At 38.2% G+C, this 21,116-nt stretch overlaps 1 protein-coding gene, 1 long non-coding RNA gene and 1 other non-coding gene across 10 annotated transcripts in view; all 3 read left to right on the forward strand.

The window, feature by feature from the left end:
* LOC124902503 (uncharacterized) overlaps positions 1-20,949 on the forward strand; it is a 44,104-nt gene extending 23,155 nt beyond the window's left edge. The window contains exons 1-2 of the long non-coding RNA XR_007062292.1: positions 1-9,262; positions 10,358-20,949. The exon at positions 1-9,262 is cut by the window's left edge and continues 23,155 nt beyond it. This is a non-coding gene — a long non-coding RNA (uncharacterized LOC124902503). The remainder of the gene's footprint in view (positions 9,263-10,357) is intronic.
* VTI1A (vesicle transport through interaction with t-SNAREs 1A) overlaps positions 1-21,116 on the forward strand; it is a 408,381-nt gene that overhangs the window by 174,128 nt on the left and 213,137 nt on the right. The gene's annotated exons all lie outside the window — the stretch shown is intronic.
* Positions 13,055-13,139, forward strand: MIR4295 (microRNA 4295). Its single transcript, NR_036177.1, has one exon. It is a non-coding gene; the product is annotated as a microRNA 4295 (primary transcript).

Here is a 21,116-nt window from a genome sequence, read left to right on the forward strand (position 1 = left end):
ATTAACTTGTAAACTCTAAGCAGATAGCTACATGTAAGGACTTACAGCGTTGTTTCCTAAAGTGTGTTTCGCTGCAGAAGGAGGCGTTCCACCAAAAGATGACTTCATGGCCAAGTGTCTGTGTGCAAGGCTGCGTACTGCACTCCTGTCTTGTAGAGATTACACATTAGCATATTAATGGTTCTAAGAAGTAACATTCCTTTTTTACTTTTTATACCAAAGAGTTTCTCAATGTATTTGGTCACAGACCCTGTACATCTTATCATCCCACGAAACAAGATGGGGGGAAATGTTGGACTTAGGTACACTTCATAGTTTTTATATATGCTTTATGTAAGTTTTTCATAGTCCCCATACCATCCTTATCAGGTACACATTATTGTCCCCATTACTCAAATGAGAACTTAAGGTTAAGTGACTCTTCCAAGTTCACAAGCCAAGAAAAGAGCAAAAATTTGTACCTAAATTCTCCTAATCTGGGAACCATTCCACCACACTGTACTACCTCTTAGATTCATGTGTATCATTTCAGTGAGCACCAGCGTGTCCCATCCTTCTCTGGACCCTGTCTCTAGAAGTCCTTTATAAATGTACTTCTACCTTGGCTTTTCCAGTCATAGCATGTAGCACGAAATCCTTAATTGTCCACTGTGTAACACCTTTCATGACATGTGCTGTTCCATGTGGCACTGACTACTCCAGAGTCCCTGGGAACATTATGCTTTTTTTGCACACTCGTCTCCATTTTCCACGCTATACGCTCCTTATATGCAAGGTACTCTTAGTAGTTGCAGCATCTGTCCACCGTCCTTGGCTCCGTAGTATCACCGGGTGCTTCTTTACTAAATGAGAGTATTCCTCAGTTGTGGGAGTCGAGAGAGAGAAGAAGGAGACAGAGAGAGAGAGAGAGTTGGGGTGCTTATTTTAACTCTGGTTCTAATCATGCTGCAGGGTCAGCTTGCCAAGAAACACTTAAGGCTCTGTTTTCTGTATGTAGGCAGGTAATCCTCTGATAGAGAAACATAGAGTTATCCCATCAAAATGTGAGCACAGAAATGTATCAACAACATGCCATAAGCCAGTCGATATACCTAAAAGCCAAACTGCAAACCGGTCCCTGTGCCCCTGAAAGGGGTGTCAGAATATAGTTGTTTTTGCAGGTTTTAACATTAATTGGCACTAGACACACCCAGCTGAAGCAAGGTCTGTCGCTGGTTTTGAGCTTCCTCTGCCTTTTACTGATGCTAAAATGTTTAACTTTGGCTTTGGTAGATTTTAATGCAGACCAAGAGTGCTATTTTTATGTATAAAATTTTATATTTATAAAACAAAAAGTACCTAAAAAAAAAAAAAAAGAAGAGGTGTAATGGGATTGGGTAGAAGAGCCAGGACTAGAAAGAGTCACATACGTATTTCTTTATAATGGATTAAGGGAAAACCAGGAAATAAGTGCAGACTGGCCATGTTTCAAAAGAAAATAAGATTTGAAAGATAAAAATCATCAATTCCTATAATTTAGATTTTTACCCAGAGTCAGTGTGTTCATATAATCTCCTTTATTCTTTTAAGCATTTGGTGTAGCAAACTTCTTTCAAACATCTTGAAAATTTTTTGTCCAAATAGCTATACTTTCCAGTATTGGTTTAAAAATGCGAATTTAAAAATCTGAAGTACAAGTTAGGAAGTAGATTGGTAGAAAGTTGAAGCTATGTAAATAAGAATAGGCTGTTACTTAAGTTTTCAAAATTCCAATTATGAGTATTCCAGTGCATTTAGACAAGCTGGGTTTGTTATTTTTGGAGTTAGTAAGCAATTTCACAATGTGCTATATATCACTTTTAAAGACATGATAAATTGTCCCTAATGGTATTGTGTGTATAAACTAGAGCTGTTTCTGCCTTGTGTATAATGCTCAGGATTGGGTGGTACACCTGAAAAGGCTCGGATTTTAATGGGGCCTTTTTAGCACTTTTGCACCTCGTATGTTCAGGATTATGTTTGATTGATGACTTTAAATGTGCTGGCATGAGAGATATGTAGATCTTAATGCTCTTAAACCATTTGTTTTCCAATCTCTATAAAAGGCCCCTCTGTTTTGGGGTAACACTTTATCCTTCTTAAGTAAACAGAAATAGGTTTCTGGGATTTTGCTTTTTAACATTGTAAATCCAGCAGGAAAGAGACAGGCTAGAGGCTTTTAAGAGAAGGCTGAAAACACCATGTTCCCATTTTATTAGAGTAGCCCCAAAAAGTCAGGGCATGTGTGTATGTATATATACGTAGATATATTTTTCTTTCTTCTAAACAGTATTAAAATAACCTTTTTTTTTTTTTTTTGCCAGAACTCTCTGAATCTTTTCTTTCCTTTGGACCACTTGATATCTCAGCCATTATCCTCAGCCTGCTGGCTGAGAACTCTCTTTGGATCCCGTCACGATCCGAAACAGCTACAGGGTTGGCTACTGTGTGGCCAGGGGCACATTCTCCCCAACAGGTCTTAGAACAAGAGATTGGGGCTATAATCGAATCCTGCTTCCCAAAAGGCACTGGGACTTACTACCCAAGCCTGGAGGTGTTTTATAATCCATTCCTATAGGATTCCTCTGACTTGGACAAAATCTTCAGTGCTTCAGGAGGGGCTAGAAAAAAATACTGCGAGGGTTTCCAGCTTCTGATTAACAACCTCGGCACTGTGCAGGGAAAGGGGGAAAATTGCCTCTGCTAAAGGAACAGATTGTTTTAAGATTTTAAGAACTGATTATAAACAGGTTACTTAGGGAGGAGAGAACTGCACTGGTCAGAAGCAGCCTCTGCTGCCAAGCTGTGAAACCTATTGTAGCAGCAGATCTATTTGCAAGGGCCTTCAGCCTCGGCTCCCAGTTGTCCATCATCTTTCAAGAAAAGAGACCAGCATGGGACTGACAAACACATTTTCACTTCCGTCTAAGATATGAACTTAGGGGCTCAGGAGTTGAAAGACTAGTGCATTTACCCATATTTATAATATGTTGCTAATTAGCAGTCACTGTCCTTGTGATCTTTTTCTTTGTCGTCCTCTAGAGGCATCCCATTTCTTTCATTTCCTTTCTTTCCATCATCAGCAATACTAAATGGAATATGGATTATTCTGGCAGCAGGGCAGTTTGAGCCCCATGATTAGTCTAGAATGAAATGTGAAGGGGGAAAAAAAAGTATGAAATGAGCCATTGTGTCTCCTTGTTCTCAAGATGTTATTTTGAAATCTTTGTGGTAGTGATGTATTTGCTAGTGGTTCCTATTACCTAGAGACTTCTAGGATACCTGGGAGGGCTTTTTAATATACATTTTCATTTTTTATGTCTTATTTTTAAAATGGTTCTTATTAGGATAAATGATTATAAGACTCCTAGGATACCTGGGAAGGTTTTTTAATATACATTTTCATTTTTATGTTTTTTTTAAAAAAAGTTCTTATTAGGATAAATGCTTATAAGTGAAATACGAGTATAACAGAAAGATAAAAATCGAAGACACGTAGGGTACTTAAAATGGCTCAAACCTCATAACCTTTTATCAGCAGTTTGCTGCTGTTGTTGTTATTGCTGTTTTAAGTCTGTGAATCAGCAGTTTGGCAGTTTCCGATATGTTTTCTGCCAAATAATCACAAGATTATTCTTCACTTGAATAATTGGAATTGTTTATTGTAATGGGTAGATTAAGGGCCGGGCATGGTAGCGCAGGCCTGTGATGTCAGCATTTTGGGAGGTCAAGACAGGAGAATCACTTGAGGCTGGGAGTTCGAGACCAGCCTGAGCAACATAGTGAGACCCCATCTCTACAAAATATTTAAAAAATTAGCCAGGCACAGTGGCACACACCTATAGTCCTAGCTACTCAAGAGGCTGAGGCAGGAGGATCACTTGAGCCCAAAAGGTTGAGACTGCAGTGAGCCATGATCATGCCACTGTACTCCAGCCTGAGTGCCAGAGTGTGGCACTGTCTCAAAAAAATAAAAAAAGTATTTTGTAATAAAGTAAGCGCTGAATACATATGTTTAACTTGGGGGGTAACCTTTGTGGCTACGCCTATGTTTGTGTGTTTATGTGTTTGAGTGTAAAAGACTGCTGAAAGCACAGCAGCAGCCATTACATATGGAAGCACGATTATCAGAAGCATCAGGTATATGCAAAGGAAGAGCTAGTGACCTGGATGGGATTGGAGACTATTATTCTAAGTGAGGTAACTCAGGAATGGAAAACCAGGCCGGGCGCGGCGGCTTCACGCCTGTAATCCCAGCACTTTGGGAGGCCGAGGCAGGTGGATCACCTGAGGTCAGGAGTAAAAAACCAGCCTGGCCAACATGGTGAAACCCCATCTCTACTAAAAATACAAAAAATTAGCCGGGCATGGCGGCACATGCCTGTAATCCCAGTTACTTGGGAGGCTGAGGCAGGAGAATTGCTTGAACCTGGGAGGCAGAGGTTGCAGTGAGCTGAGATCGCACCACTGCACTCCAGTCTGGGCAACAAGAGTGAAACTCTGTCTCAAAAAAAAAAAAGGAAAACCAAACATCATATCTTCTCACTCATAAGTAGGAGCTAGGCTGTGAGGATGCAGAGGCATAAGAATGACGCAATGGACTTTGGGGACTTAGGGGGAAAGGGTGGGAAGGGGATGAGAGATAAAAGACTACAAATTGGGTACAGCATATACTGCTCAGGTGATGGGTGCACCAAAATCTCACAAATCACCACTAAGGAACTTACTCAGGTAACCAAACACTACAGAAATAAAAAATTAAAAAACAAAGACAGTACTAAAATAAATCTCTAATAAGTCACGTAAAGCACTTCAGCAGTAGCTGCACAAAGTGGTAGATCAACAAATTTTTATTACTGTTTTGTCTATTCTAATCTTTCCGTTTTCCCCAAGAAAATGTCAGGAAGAAGAAACAAAGTACATTTGGAAACTGCATCCTTTTTTTTTGTAATGATTTCGCAGTAGTTATGTGGACGCATCATTCAGTTCTAGAATCAGTTTGAATCAACAGCTTGGCTCCACACAAAACCTTCCTTTTTCAGATGATGTGGCTGAAGCACAGAGAGGTAAAAGCCCCCTTCCGGAGGTCACATAACAGTAGAAATCTGAGATTTTAAGACCATGAAATCAAAAACAATTATGAATTTTGGGGCAACTGCTCAGCTTCTTCATGTGGCTATATCTTTATTTTTTTTAATCTACATCTTCAAAAATCCAAGCATTTCTGCCTTTGAAAACAAGATTTTTTTCTGTTTATTAGGCAAATTGAATTTGAGATATATAATCAACATTCATAAAGTTACAGTATATTTATCCATTGATTTATAGAATTAATCTGTACTAATGAAATTATAATCTTTTTCTGTTGCTGAGGACAAGGACTACATCTTAATCTTCTTTGTGTCCCTAAAAGTGCTTAGTAAAATAACTCCTAACAAGTATTTGCAAAAAAAAAAGAAAGAAAGAAAAAAGAAATACAGACCAGAAGTGATCTTAAAACCAACTCTAGCCGCTTACAAAGGAGAAAACTCAGTCCTAGTGAAGGACCATATGTGTTGGTCAAAAGGAGATAGAGCCAGGGTTTTCCAGCTGGTAGTCCACTGCTCTTCAGGTACATTGGGGATGACTTTGTTTTCAGATAGCCTGCATTTGCCATCTTCCAGTTAAAATGGGTAAAGGCTTAATCTAATAATTTTATTAAATGTAATATTATTTTTAAATTCACACAAATGCAGCCACAAAGCCTGCATCATAACTTTTCACTTCCAAGATATTTTGTTCTGTTCAGACTGGTATAGTGTTTAACCACTTAAAAATTAATTGCAAACACAGCTTGCTGAAATATTCGTCCACTAATAGCCAATTAATTAAACTTATCTAATGTTTATTATCCACAGTTGCCTGGCAGATAATTGATCCTCATTAAATATATGTTGATTCAGTCTTCCCTGTCTCAGCTCTATCTCAAGATGAGCTCTTAAATGATGAGCTTTGAATAATCTTGGATGATTTTTAAAAAATAAAAATTCCTCCTACCCAACCCTATTCAGAATCTCTGGGGATAGACCTTGGGATTCTATTTTTAACAAACTGGACAGGTGCATGCATAGTTGAGAATGACCACCTAAAGTAAGGAGATTGAAATTATCATTGATGAAAATACCTTCCATTGATCAGTCCAGTTGAAAACTAGAGATACCTAAATGTTATCACCAGACATATTTTTAAAGTAGTTATATAGGTTCAGCAAACCCTAGTCCTTATATGACAGTTTTTAAAATGTTTTATCATACCTTAATTCATCTTTATTACAAATTATTTAAATAAGATAGAAGTATATAAAAAAATAAAAGGATCGTCCCCTTTACCCCTACCCATCTATCTCTCCCACTCTAACTACTCAAATATAACCACTATTCATAGTAGGTATTTAAGCTTTGAGGGTTTCTCCCCTATGTATTCGTATGTTTTGTCTGTATCTAAGTACGTTTATATGTGTCAATATATATGCACACATACATGTGCATATATTCATATTTACATTTATAATGAGATTATTTATTCAACAAATATCGAAGCATCTACTATGTAACAGGACCTGGTGCTGAGATAACAACAGTGACCAAACTGATGAGATCCCTGTTCTCATTAACTCAACATTATAATAGTGAGACAGGCAATATATCAATAAAAATGTGATATAAAATGTGGTAATGATATATAATATAAAGTAAAATAAAGTAGGATAAAAGGATAGATAATTCCAGGGGGTTCTACTTGACCTATGATGGTCAGGGCAAGACTCTGAGGGATATTTAGGCAGAGAACAGAGTCACATGAGAAAATGAGCCCCGCGCGTGTGTTGGAGAAGTGGACGCCAAGGTCTTCTAGACTACGTATGCAAAACCACACGTTTTTCTTTTTAAAAAATAAAATTCTATTACATATACTGTCCTGTACCTTAATTTTTCTAGCCAACTCTAATTTATGTACACACCTCCAAGGTCTGTATAGATAGATCTAAATTATTTCCTAGTGACTGCTTAGTATTCCATAATGTGTCTGTATCATAATGTAATCATTCACATGTTGCTGGACATTTTTTGTTTATATTTTATATTTATAAACAATGCTGCAATGAAATCTTATGGACTGGAATCTTTATGTTTAGGTGTTTAGGTATTATAGGATTAATATTATTGTTCTGTTGCAAAACGAGGTTATTGTAAGTATTTGAATTCTATCAGTGAAAAACAGAGTCACCTATACAAGAATAAAGGAACCAGGACCTTGGGATGCAAACATGTATAATAATCATTTTATGTATAGATAGAGGTAAGATTTATTTAATCATGTTTAATTTTAAAATTGGGCCATCAAAGAATCCTAAATCAAGTTTTTATCATAAAAGACCATATTTTACAGATTTCCATGGTTTAATAGTTGTTCAACCAACTGCCCTGGCACTGGTTCTCATTTACAGGATTGCATCCAGTTTGAGTTTGTTTATTTTTATAATGTCTGTTCTCCTAGTATTGGATCATCCATTTAATCTTCAGTGTTGCTGCTTTACGGTTTTCTTTATCCAAAAGTATTTGATCTAAACTATATTTTATCTTTTAAATGTAAGATTTTCTTATTTAAAGTCTTTTAAAATATTATAATTATAAATACAGAAAACCTTATCTCCCAGAGATAACCACTGTTAGTATTTTGGTGTATATCCTCGCAGTGTTTTTTTAATGCATACACGTGTGTCTACATTTAAAGTATGAGTTTTTTAGATGAAATTTTTAATTTTGGGTTCATTGACTCTCTTTGATACACCAGACATCTCATAACCCACACTTAAAATAGACCCATTACCTCTCTTATCATCTTTCTATTACTGGTTACTCACTTAATCATGAACAACCTAGCAGACCCTCTCCATGTTGTCAGTTGAATAGACAGGTGCCTTGCAGGTTGTTTGCCAAGTGAATGGCTTCTGGGGTAACAGGTGATGTTACTGGGACACTCAGAGGCCTCAGACACTTGTCCAGCGCTGTCATCATGGCTGCAGGCAGAGCCTGCCTCAGGATAGCACTCTGGAGCATCTGAACCCATGCATCACATTCCTCCTTAGGGACAGGGCACCAGAAAGTTCTTCTATCCTACTCTTCCTTATGACCAGGCCCTGAAGGGGTTGCTTTGGATTTTCACAGAAAAAGAGATTTTCCTCCTACACTATTCCTCCTATCGCCGTCATTCTTCCCATTCCCTGTTTCATCACCGCACAGCTGTTAGGAGGATAGTTGGCTTTTAACTGGAGGCTTATCTGGGATTTCCCCCACATTGGAATTAAGAAGAAACAGAATCTTTTAAAAACAGGACCTTTTTTCCAGTTAGGCTTCCCTTAGGAAGGGGCTTCTTGTCTCCAGACTCCTGCATGACCTTTGAGGAACGAGTGTGAAACATGCTGTGATTTAGGAATGAATGCTTATTTAACGCAGAAGTTATTTTAAAATGAGGCTATACAGCAGCAGTTTAGTAATTAAACATTTTTAACTTGCTCTCCAGTTCTCAAAAGTGGCTTAAGCAGTATTGAGCTAAGCTTGCTAAGTTTCAAGTGACTGCAGTTAGTAAGTTTGCTTGTTTGTTTTAACTGGATAATTCCTCAGTCAATTTGAGGGTTTTGATGCACATAAATCCACTGTGCTTCCAGCCTCATATGAGCCAAATCTCCTAAACATGCCATATGCCATTCATAAGTCTTTCTGTGGAGTACAGTGGACAACTTTGTGACTACTGGATTTTTTTAAACGAAGATGATTTTTCAGTATTTAAAAAAAATATGGTTTTATAGTATTAAAACTGAGAGTAGAGTTGAGAGGGACTCTAGTATGTTAAAGAAACACATTAATTGTGCCTAAAGGTGTTTGTTTTTTTCTCGAAATGCCCACTTCGTTCCCAATTGATCAAAAGATGAAGGTTCCAGAGACTCTTTCTTCTGACAGACTTGATTATTAGGGGTTCCTTTCTAGAGAAGTTGTTATTTTGTAAACACATGCATATGCATAATATATTCTGCCCAACACTCCCACTTTCTGATCTGCACAGGACAGCAGAGCATCCTATGGAGTCACAGAACAAAGAAAATCCTCACTCTGAAATTCTTTCCTGGAGCCAAATGTGTCCTCAGCTTCAGAAAGAAAATCCCTAGCCTGGGTTGGGTCACCCCTCCAGCCCTCTGAGGAAATTTTAGGTATGCTCTCCAGGAAAATATTACACTTGGGGGTGCTAGAACTTGGTTTTATTTTCTAGTATGGAATCAGGTTTTGTTCTAGATATTTACCTATATCATTGCAATTAATTCCCCCAATGACCCTGTGTTGTAGGTATTAGTACTCCATGTTTCACATAAAGAAATGGAAGCTCAGAAAATTTGAATAATTGGCTATAACTGTATAGTATTAAGTGGTGGAGTCAGGATTTGAACCTCTATTCACTTGATTCTAATGCCCTGACATTTCTATTCTGCACAAGACAGATAGTAGCTTGTAGAGCTAATGGAGAGAAAACCACTATACCCCATTCAACATCGCTGAAATGTCTTTTTCAGCCTGCAATCAAGCCTCACAAAATTTTATTCACTGGTTTATGGTATCCACCTCCTTACTCAATAACCAGAAAACAAAAGGTAATATATGTAACAATATAAGAAGGCAGCCAAGTGCGGTGGCTCATGCCTGTAATCCCAGCACTTTGGGAGGCTGAGGGGGGCGGATCACCTGAGGTCAGGAGTTCAAGACCAGCCTGACCAATATGATGAAACCCCGTCTCTACTAAAAATACAAAAATTAGCCAGGCATGGTGGCATGCACCTGTAATCCCAGCTACCTGGGAGGCTGAGACAGGAGAATCGCTTGAACCCGGGAGCCGGGAGGTGGAGGTTGCAGTGAGCCGAGATCGCGCCATTGCACTCCAGCCTGGGCAACAAGAGCGAAACTCTGTCTCAAAAAAAAAAAGCAGTATGAAAACATGACACTGCTATGCTACTCTCAACTACACTGGGGAGCTCAAGCTGATAAGAGCGTAGTATAGAGTAAAGAATATTAATTTTTAAACCTTATTTATTTATTTTAATGAGGTACAATTCACGTAATAGAAAATTAACCATTTTAAAATGTACACATCAGTGACATTTAGTACTCTTACAGTGTTGTACTACCACCACCTCTATCTAGTTCTAAAACATTTTTGTCACCCCAGAAAGAAACCCCATCCTCGTTAGGCAGTTGCTCCCCTTTTGTGCTCCACCTAACCCCTAGTAACACCAGTCTTCTTCCTGTCTCTATAGATTCATCTATTCTGGATATTCCAAACAAATGGAATCCTACAACATGTGACCTTTTGTGTCTGGTTTTGTTCACTCAGCATAATGTTTTTGAGGTCCATTTACATTGCAGCCTAGGTCAGTACTTCATTCCTTTTTATGGTTGGGAATATTGATTTTAAGTTCTAGGCCTAGCTCTGCTATTAACTCCCTGAAAGCCTGACGCAAACCTCTGAGCCTTATTTTGCTCGTCTGTAAAGGTGAGGGCTGTGTAGCCTATGGCATGTGAGTTCCGCAGGAAGCTCTGGAACAAAAGGTCTTCAGTTCAAGTAAGTGTGAGGAACAGTGCATACTGTGTCTTGTTTGTCGTGACTCATAATGCTCCATGTACTAAAGATTTGCACTCTTTAGCCCAGGATTGCTCAATCTGGGACCAGAGAACCCTTTTATTTCGCCTATTTTTGTTTACATCTTATAGAACATAATCCAGGATTCTAAGACACTGTAATCTATGAATCACTTATTGATGAAATTCCACAATATGGTAATTATAACAATATAATTGTAATTGTAATTGTAAAAATATACAACTTGGCCAGCCATGGTTATGTTGATCTTTTCTCCAAGTTAGTGTCCATCAGTTGGGGTAGTATTCTTCCCTAGGGGACATTTTGAACCTTTGTTGGGGCATTTTGGTTATCTCAGTGATAACTCAAGGGTAATAAACATCCTGGAATGTATTGCGTAGTCTTTTACAACACTCCCTGATCCTGCACAAACTCTCAAATGTCCTGCTGGTCATTTGTGAAGGTGCACACCCTATTTATAATTATCTGAACGTAGTTTTCCATATGAACACAAAGTATTTTTGTGTGGCTTGAACGTATGTGGAGTTTTCCAAGTATACAATAATTGTGTAAAATCAGGGTTTATTTTAAAAGAGTTCTTTACCATTGAAGGATAGACAGGATTATGCTACAGTAACAAATTAACCTAGAAATTCTGGTGGTTTAACACAACAAAGGTTTCTTTTTTATTTATGCTAAAAGTTGATCAAGCATTGACAGAGGGCTCTGCCCCACTTACTCAAGCATCCAGACTCCACCATGGGGATCGTTGCCAGCCACTGCGGGCAGGGATAGACGGGATTCACATACCAGCTCATCAATATTTTGACCCAAAGTTGAGGTACATCACTTCTGACTATAGTGTACCGGCCAGAAATAGTCATATAGTCCTACCTAACCATAAGGGGGTTAGGGAAGAGGAACAGGTGGAAAGTTGGGTGAGTACAGTGTTCATGGTAATGCGACTTGTAGTATTTGAGCTGTCATTACAGTGCTTGTGGATTGGTTTGCATATGTAGTGTCACATGCATGTTGATTGTACATGCATGTGACAGTTGTATAGGCACAAGCATGTACTTACTTAGTTGTATCTATTAGTATAGTAATGCCTGGGTATTTACAAATAGAAATACTTCTTATTTTGTTGTAAGTTATTTTCCTGTATTTATATTACAGCTAGGGCATTATATTGATTTCTTTTTTAAAAATCCTGTGTGAAATATTTGTTACAAAAAGGTGGTCTGGGCTGGGCGTGGTGGCTCATGCCAGTAATCCCAGCACTTTGGGAGGCTGAGGCGGGCAGATCACGAGGTCAGGAGTTTGAGAGCAGCCTGACCAACATGGTGAGTCCTGAGAGGAGAGGTCTGAAGGAGAGGAGAGGTCTGATGGTGATGAAAGCCACTTTTCTAGGTCTTCGGCATCATCTGGAACACATAGTGGGTCATAGAGAATTACGGGACTTACATAATAATAGTAAGAAGAAGATTAGCTCACATCCTTTGAGTACTCCGCATGTGCCAGGCACTGTGCTAAAACCCTGTAGGTTGATTCTCTGCTTTAAGCATCACCAGAAGCCTGTGAGGAAACCTCCGAATTCTCCATCTTACAGGAGAGAGCTGCTTTTTTCCTTCAAGTATAATGGAAAAGTTGTGGTCCCCAGAATTTCTGTCCTCCCTATGCTAGCACGAAGGGATAATTGATCTTCAGACATTGAAAAGAGATAGCAGGCAAAACACCGGGGCTGGAACAACACAGCAGGATACCCAGGGATCCCAAAAGGAAGTCAAAGAAGAGATTGGAGAAAAGCAGTGGTGAGGAAAAGGGCATTGCCCCCAAAAAGTAATGTCTCCCATGCAGAGAAGACTAGCATTACATAAATGTGTCACTGAGAGAGTTACCTTACCCTGACTCTGTCACCAAATTTTATTAAATGCCTCTCCTATTTCATCCTTGTTGGTGAACTTCCCAGTTCTTCTCTTATTTTATGGGCATAAGAGCTTATACTTTGCAGTTTAGTTAGTTAATTTATTTAAATAGCATTATCAAGTTGGCTCTAGACTAAAAAAAAAAAAAAGTCATGACTCACTCCAGAAAATACCATCAGTTAACAAACGGAAAAAAGGAAAAAGGATCACAGTTAACTCAGAATTATAAAACAATGGTTCTTTTAGGCTTCCTATTTTAGTGGTGTATCCAAACACCTTTTTCCCAGAGTAATAGAGCTTTCTTCCCTTTTGGTTGCAAGCATTATATGAGCAAGATTGGCCACTTTAAAAGTTTTGTTGCATCTTTACTTTCATTACTCAACCTTTATTTCTCCTCAGTCTTTATTCCATAAGAAATATGCTTCAATGGCTTATGCATTTAGAATTGACTTTGTGGAACAGTGCAATGTTTTCCTTGCCTGTGGCAAGACCACTTCGGTTCAAGGCTAAGAAACTAGACTGTTCCTACAGAGACCCTCTGGGTGACTCATCTCTTTTGAGATCCTGATTGTCCATTTTTTGGTTGGTGTTCTGGCAGCAGTGTGTGTTGCCCTGAAGGCACCCTCTCATATGGTGTTGACTACACTATGCTGTGCTATTTAATTCTTGTTTTGGATTGTGCCTCGAGTTTTAAGTCACTTGACAATACAGAAGGTTTCTTTCTCCAAAGATTATCAATATCATACCATTGCCTCTCGGTGGTTATACACACACACACAGACACACACACACATACACACACACACACACACACACACACACACACACGAATTTCATGTTTTCTTCCTTTTGAAACTAAATGTGATCTGTCTGACCTTTCTGAGGAGTCTGCTGCTTTTTCAGATTTATGTCCCTGTGACAAGGTGGTTTGGCAAGCTGTTTGTCTTAATCACTCAGCATCTCCATTAGACAAGCTGTTTAAAAATCTTCTACGTAATTATCTTTTTTGACTCTCACTCTTCCACATTCTTTTCTTTATTGTAAACTTTCTTATGACTTTTTTATATATCTGCCATGTTCTAAAAGGCATTTAAGCCTTCTTACACTGTTTTGTCTGCTTTTCATTAAGTTTGCCATCAATTTACAATCCATGCCCATTGCCTCCTTCACAATCTGAATACATAAACATGCATAATAAATAAACTCTGGGGTTGAATCCTGGACTGAGTGGCCAACATTTTTTCTGTGTCTTCCTTAACTGTTAAAATAGGCAGACAGAGGAGCATTAGAGGAGCTAATTCTAGGAGTCTCCTACGGACATTTGCCGGAGTTTTCACTGCCTTGTTGTTGCCTGTAACTGCAAAGTTCAGAAAGCTGGGGCTGGAGGTGCCTTTATTCATAATATGAGCCAGGCACTGTGCTCATTATTTGGGGGGAATAAAAGATAACACATTTCCTGCCTTCAAGCAGCTTTTACTCTGGTAAAGAGGATAATGCAGGCATGTAAATCTTGTGGAGATGAGACAGCGTGCTGAGGAATTTAAGGAGAAAGATCCCTTTGGTAAAGGCAGATGCAGAATTCATGGCAGATGTAGTGTTTTAGCAGAACCGTGAGCAGTCAGCAGGATTGTACGGATTGGAGATTGGTAGAGGCATTCCAGACAGGGAACCGCAAGGGTCAAAGCTCAGAGGTGGCCAAGTCTAGAATATATGCCAGAGAGAATTGAGAGAGAAGCCTGAAAGAGTATTTAGGCCTAAATTCTGAAAGGTTCTAAATGCTGGCTTAAACCTTGGATTTTTCTTGGTGAGCATGGCCAGAGTGGTGTTTTAGGAAGATTTTAGAAAGATCAAACAATCGAGACGTACTGATGGTTGTAGACAATGAAGACAGGGAAACCAGTTAAGAGGCTTTTGCACTGGTCTTTGTGAGAGGTTACAACAGTAGGAATGGAAAAGAAACAAGTATGAGAGATAATTCAAAGAAAGATTTGAGAAAACCCGATGACTGGTTCAAAATGGGAAGCAAAATAAAGGAAGATTCAAACTGAGTTGATATGTGTGAGTCCCAAGAGACCCACTTGATTCGCCCACATTTAGCTGATGGGAAGAGGCACATAGCAAGAAGCTGTGATTTTTATTCATGCCCACTGAATTTAAGGGATGAGTGAACTACCCAGCATGTAATAGGAAATGGGGAGTAAAACTTGGAATAGTTTTTAACAGATTAAGCATAGAAACAGAGATGATATTTAAAAACCATGAAAGTGAATGAGGATCTCAAAGGAGACTGTTTGGAGAATGTAGGAAAGAAATACAAAGTAAGAACTTGAACTGCCAATAATTATGGGTTGAGATGAGGCAGCACCTGCAAGGGAGAGAGATCCGAGGGTTGGGCTCTGAATGCTTTGCTCACAGTAGGCACTCTGCACAGATGCATTTGTGGATGAATACCTGTCAAAGTCAAGGCTGACTCTTTCACTACAAACTTTGCCATCCCATAAATCTTTATATAAGGGCACTTTGTAGACCAATAATCTTGAGCTCATCAACTCACATAGTTGACATTCAATACCAGGGCTTTATATAAAGGTATACAATTGCAATTAATATTACTTGTTATTTTTACCTATTGTAATAGCTCATTAATTTTCTCCTGCCATTGGATGGTGTGTTATGGGTGGGTATGGTGAGTATCCCATTTTGTCAAATAGATTATAAACTCCAGCCGGGTGCAGTGGCTCATGCCAGTAATACCAGCACTTTGGGAGGCCGAGGTGGATGGATCACAAGGTCAAGAGATCGAGACCATCCTGGCCAACATGGTGAAACCCCGTCTCTACTAAAAAAAATATATAAAAATTAGCTGGATGTGGTGGTGCGCACCTGTAGTCCCAGCTACTTGGGAGACTGAGGCACGAGAATTGCTTGAACCTGGGAGGCGGAGGTTGCAGTGAGCTGAGATTGCACCACTGCACTCCAGCCTGGGTGCCAGAGCAAGACTCGATCTCAAAAAAAAAAAAAAAAAACTTCAAGTGTAGAGGTAGTATCTTTTGTTCTTTGGTGTATTACTAGAGGGTGCAGTCAGTATAAATTAAATGCTAGAGATCAATTATTCTCTTCCAAAGTAAAGAGAAAATAAACAACCATAGCAAAACAAAATGAAACAACCAACAACAAAAAACAGTCATTAAGATTCATTGTCATGGATATAGATAGATCAGAGGAAACATTTCACATTTCTTATGTATCAGAAGGCCAGTCTATTCTTCTAGAACCTAGAGGCCTCTGTCAACTCATTCTATCTCAGAATAGCCTTAACCAGACAGATATATTTAACTTAAATAATGACATGAAGGCTTTTTTGAATGGTTCCAATAGAAACATTAGAAATTGTTTATTCCTAACTTTTATTTAGTTTTGTTTTCTTTTTTTAAAAGGAAAACAATTTGGAGACTCGTGAGATTTTATAGGTGTCATCTATTTTGAAACAGTTTACTTTTATGATGTTTATTCATTGAAGGGTGTGAACATTATGGGTTTTACTGCATGGCAAACTAATGCTGTTTTTACAATATACTTTATATATGGTGTCAGCTTTTTTGGTGCCTCTTCTAATGTTTCCTTGTTGCATATCCGCAAAAAATCATGATTAGAACTGCTATATAGGGCTGGGTGTGGTGGCTCACGCCTGTAATCCCAGCACTTTGGGAGGCCAAGGTGGGCGGATCACGAGGTCAAGAGATCCTGGCTAACAGGGTGAAACCCCATCTCTACTAAACATACAAAAACTTAGCTGGGCGTGGTGGCACATGCCTGTAGTCCCAGCTACTTAGGAGGCTGAGGCAGGAGAGTCACTTGAACCCAGGAGGTGGAGGTTGCAGTGTGCCGAGATCGCGCTACTGCACTGTAGCCTGGGTGACAGGGTGAGACTCCCATCTCAAAAAAAAAACAGCTGTATAAAAGACTCTCTTTTTCTTTAGCATTTAACTCTTAAGTAAAGAAGAAATTAAAAAGTAAAGTAAAATTGTAAATAAGTAATTGCACCTTTATTTCTGTACTGTACATCCCATAAAGATAGACAATATGATTGACCTAAAAGTTCTAAATAAATAAACTTAAATCAGAATGTGTGGATTAGGGAGTAAAATGGTAGTACGAAAAAATTGTCTTGTATACAGTTGCTTTTTAGATGTGTAAAAACTGTTTACTTGACACACAATGCTTTGGAATTAATCACATATGCAAGCATGTTGTTTGTTGGGGAAACCCCTTATAGTCTCTACATATGTGAATGAAAGATGGGATTTGTTTGAATTACTCTATAGCCTTCATTGTTAAAATCAGAATTAAGTTCTTTGTTCAGTGAAGCATTCGTAGCAATCCTTGAGATTTCTGAGCAGGGCTGGTTGTTGGCAGAGAGTTCTCAGTGTATTATGCTGTTTACCTAAGGGTTTTATTCAAGAAGCTCTCTGAACAGCTGGGCTGATTATTGAAAATGCCTCATAGTAACTTCCAGCCTAGGCTGATCGATATCGGTGCAAAGCTTTACATGGGAGGGAGTTATTTAAACATTGAGAGCCCCAGGGATAAAAGAGAATGAAAAAATAATGCTGGACAAATATGCTGAAATGTTCAAAAGAAGAGAGAAGTATCTTGTCTTGGTATAGAGGGGAAATTCCTAAACAAACAAGCTAGAAAATTTGTAAGCTGATCTTATTACACCCTAAACATTTACTTATTTTAACTTATAGCAATCCCCTAAATATTTATTTATCTTATAACAACACCCTAAGTATTTGGTGGCAAGAGGAAAGATTAATTAAAAGTACCAAAGATCAATTTTATTTTTATTTATTTTGAAATGTAACCTATTACATAAAATTCCATGAGACACTTTTTAGTGATAATATTGGGAAATATTTAACTTTATTGTCAAATAGATTCAGCTCTCATAGTTTAAATGTAGCACAAATGTATTTCACCCAAATGTAAGCAGAAAATTCCTATTTCTTTAATTTTTTTTTTTTTTTTTAACTACAGAGATCTAGAATACAGATATTACCATTTCCTTCTGGCTTAGTCCTAGCAAAACAGGTTGGGCTTTTTTTTTTTTTCATTTCTGTTTTTAAACAATTTAATAAAATAAATAAAAACTGTACTAGAAATAGGAGATTTTATTTCCTAAAGGCATTTGGTGGAATTATGACATTGAAGCAAAAGTATCAGCATTTAAAAGCCTGTTTCTTTCTACAAAATGGGAGAACAGAGAAATACTCCAAAAAGGGAGGGAAAAACACTCAATTTATCAAAGTGGAAGCCTGTATCAAGAAATCCTACATCTTGTTACATCCAGGATTTCTTACTTTTGCTCTGCTCATGAGCAACAGACAGAAAGTTCAGAAACACAAAGGCAATCAATATGAAAACTGTGAAAGTCTCTTAATTAATCAACTCACACAAACTCTCCAAGTAAGAGGATTTTACAAACATTTCAATTAAAGCTTTCTCTTTTTATTACTAAATTTCATTGACAATTAAAAATGCATAATGAGAGTCGACATGATTATAAAAAGCAAAATATCATTTAAATACTGAGCTTTTAGACGTATAGGAGACTGACTTTCTGATGCTTATTCTTTTGATGAATCACATAGACAATTACTAATTGGATAGTTATTCTATAACAGTGACATTTTGGAATTTTCAAAACAGGTAGCTCTTTGAACATGTTTGTATTTCTCTCCTCATGTTAACATCATCATTTTGGCATACTCAGACCTAGAAGCTTCATGACTGACTCACTAATGAAATTCAGCAATCATACATATGCAAAGAACTACCTAATTCATTGAAATATTTAAGAACTGACATGGGGTGACTAGATGTTTTAACATTTAAGAGCTCTAGAACAGGCTGAAAACACTAACATCCAAGTGTTTACCTATGAATTGATATTGGAATACAAGAAACTAACTTACATTGAAAAGGTATATACAGAATATGGAAATTTTTATAAAAAACAAAAGCCAGCTTAGTCTAATAGTTTGTTTTTGCTTTTAAAAGAAAAGTTTGTTTGAAATCTTCATTGACTCTCAGCTGCTGGTTCCAGAAACTACACATATTCCCAATATGGCTTATGCCAGTTTTCTGCTTTGAAGACTAAAAAATAGACCAGAAGACAAAATATGATTTCATGATTCTGTGCCTCCCTTGTGACAGTAGAAAAGTAATTTAACTCCTTTGTGCAGCTTTTCTTCACCAGTAAATTAGGAATAATCATGTCTTCCACCTTCTGTTGGGGACTTTGAAGAGTAATGATTCAAGGGCCATTTGGAGTTAAAATAGAAATATGAAATTATTTTTCTTTACCCAAAGACTTAAGTTCATGGAATATGAGAATATCTCTTAAATCATTTTTATTTTTAAATGCCCATTTAAAAATTCAGCATTTTAAATCTATTTACTTTGTGTTTATATTGCAAAAATAGAACACAGATGCTAAAGATGTCATATTAGGACATCTTTAATAGCAATATCTATCAATGCCATTAAAATATTATCTATCTATGAAGCATAAAGTCCCACTGTTCTAAGAGTAAAACATGGGTGTTTAAAAAATATGCAGAAACTACCCAATTTATCAGAAACAATCGCAGTCAGTTTTTGAATCTGACTAAAATCTTATTTTGCCCATAGCTTGCCTCCTCTCCCACTCCTCCTGCTCCCACCTCTCATGGAGGAAGAGTGGACCAGCTCACATGGGGATCAGGCATTCCACAGCCTGGAGGTGGGTAAGGAGGATCTCAACAATCTGGGAAAAAAAACAAACAACAACAACAACAAAAAAAAACCCCACTAGCTTCTATAGATAAATATTGATGTGGATCAGGTTGTTGTACTTTGTAAGTAATTTATGTGCCTTTATTAACTGCTGAAATGATATAGACTTGTACCATATAAAAGGGTTCCAATGTTGATTCCCAATAGAAAAATACAGCTAAAGCATTTTAATATTGGCCTATCATTTGGCAGCTGTTGAATTAGGCAGTTGTTTTATTTAAAGTGAATCAGTATTCTTTTGTGTATAAGAGAGGAGTAGCCCTGAGGGTAGTCGAATGCAAAATACAGGGCTCAGTCCAGAAACAGATCTTGGCGTCATTCATTGTCTGGGCTCCAGAAAGACGTTGATGGATGCTGTGGTTTAGTATCCAAATTACTCTATTTATATCTCAGTTTCTAGCCAACAATGGACCATCAGGCATATTCAGATTGGCTGTTTTCATATAACTTCAAAAGAATACTAAATATTGCCCTGTTGTCTTGTGACTATTACAGAAAAAGCAAAAGTTTTTTTTTTCTTTCAAGGTGATCATTCTGAGAGGGGGTGTAGTTGGGGGGCAGATAGCAAAAGTCACGGATTTTCTCCTGTTGGAAAAAGCCCTATCTGAGCAGGCTTGTTGAGCTGTCAGTTGGGCACTTCAGGCTTTCTCTCTGATCATGCAGTTCGAAAGCCTTTGCAACTCTCCTTCCAGTCCTCCTGCAGGCCCCAGTGATCCCACATGTCCCACATTACCTCCCTGCTACCCCATCCTTCAAACACGCTAAGCTTGCTGTTGATAAAGGAAAAAACAGAATAGCCACTTTCCTTACTTTGCACAATGTGGAAAGGTTGAGGACCTTTCCCCACTCGCCGCGGCTAGGAAACTGGGGGATTTGGAGGGACTCACAGAGGCTATAGCAAATGACCAGGTGATGATGTGCATGACAGTTTGGGCTCAAGAGGGGAGGTGACCTTAGCAAGGAATAGAAGTGGCAGTTCTGATAGTGTGGAGATGATCTCAGGCAGAAACTCCCAACAGCAGTTGGCAAGGGTCCCAGCATCAATTCCAAAGCCCCACTCGTAGAAGGTCACCCTTAAAAGATCTTCTTCTCTATTACCTTTAGTATCCTGTCCCTTCCAAATGTTCCTTTCCCATTCCCTAATTATCCATTTTCAGTGAGAGCACGAGATTAGCCAAACTTGCAGTTATGTTTTTTTATGCTGCCCAAAGTGCTTGCTTTTACAAACCACATTTGGCCCCATATCAATCCGTTGTGTAGACCACATCAAGTTTCCAGTCCACAGCCCAACTCCTGCACTTGCGCTTGTCTTTGAACACAAATGGGCCGCAGAAAGAGGAACTGTTGGGCTTTGTGAGTGACCGGAAACAGGGTACCATTGAGCAGAAATTGAACTGATCGCACCGTGTTAAGTCAGGAAGATTCTCAACCCAGACCACTCTTTGAGCACCAAGTTAACATGTATTGCATTTAAAATGTAATAAATGCAGTATTCATAAACTTATATGTGTCTTGTGCCTTTTGTGTCAGCAGGGTTTCTGTAGGCCTCTATTTACATCAAATAAACTTCAAATATTCCAGAATGTAGACCGCATCTGGTTCATTTTTGAAGTGTCCCTCTAGGAACATTTCTAAAATAGTAGATTGTTCCAATTTTTTTCCTAATGAGAA

This window comes from Homo sapiens, chromosome 10 (genome assembly GCF_000001405.40).
Source record: "Homo sapiens chromosome 10, GRCh38.p14 Primary Assembly".
NCBI lineage: Eukaryota > Metazoa > Chordata > Mammalia > Primates > Hominidae > Homo > Homo sapiens.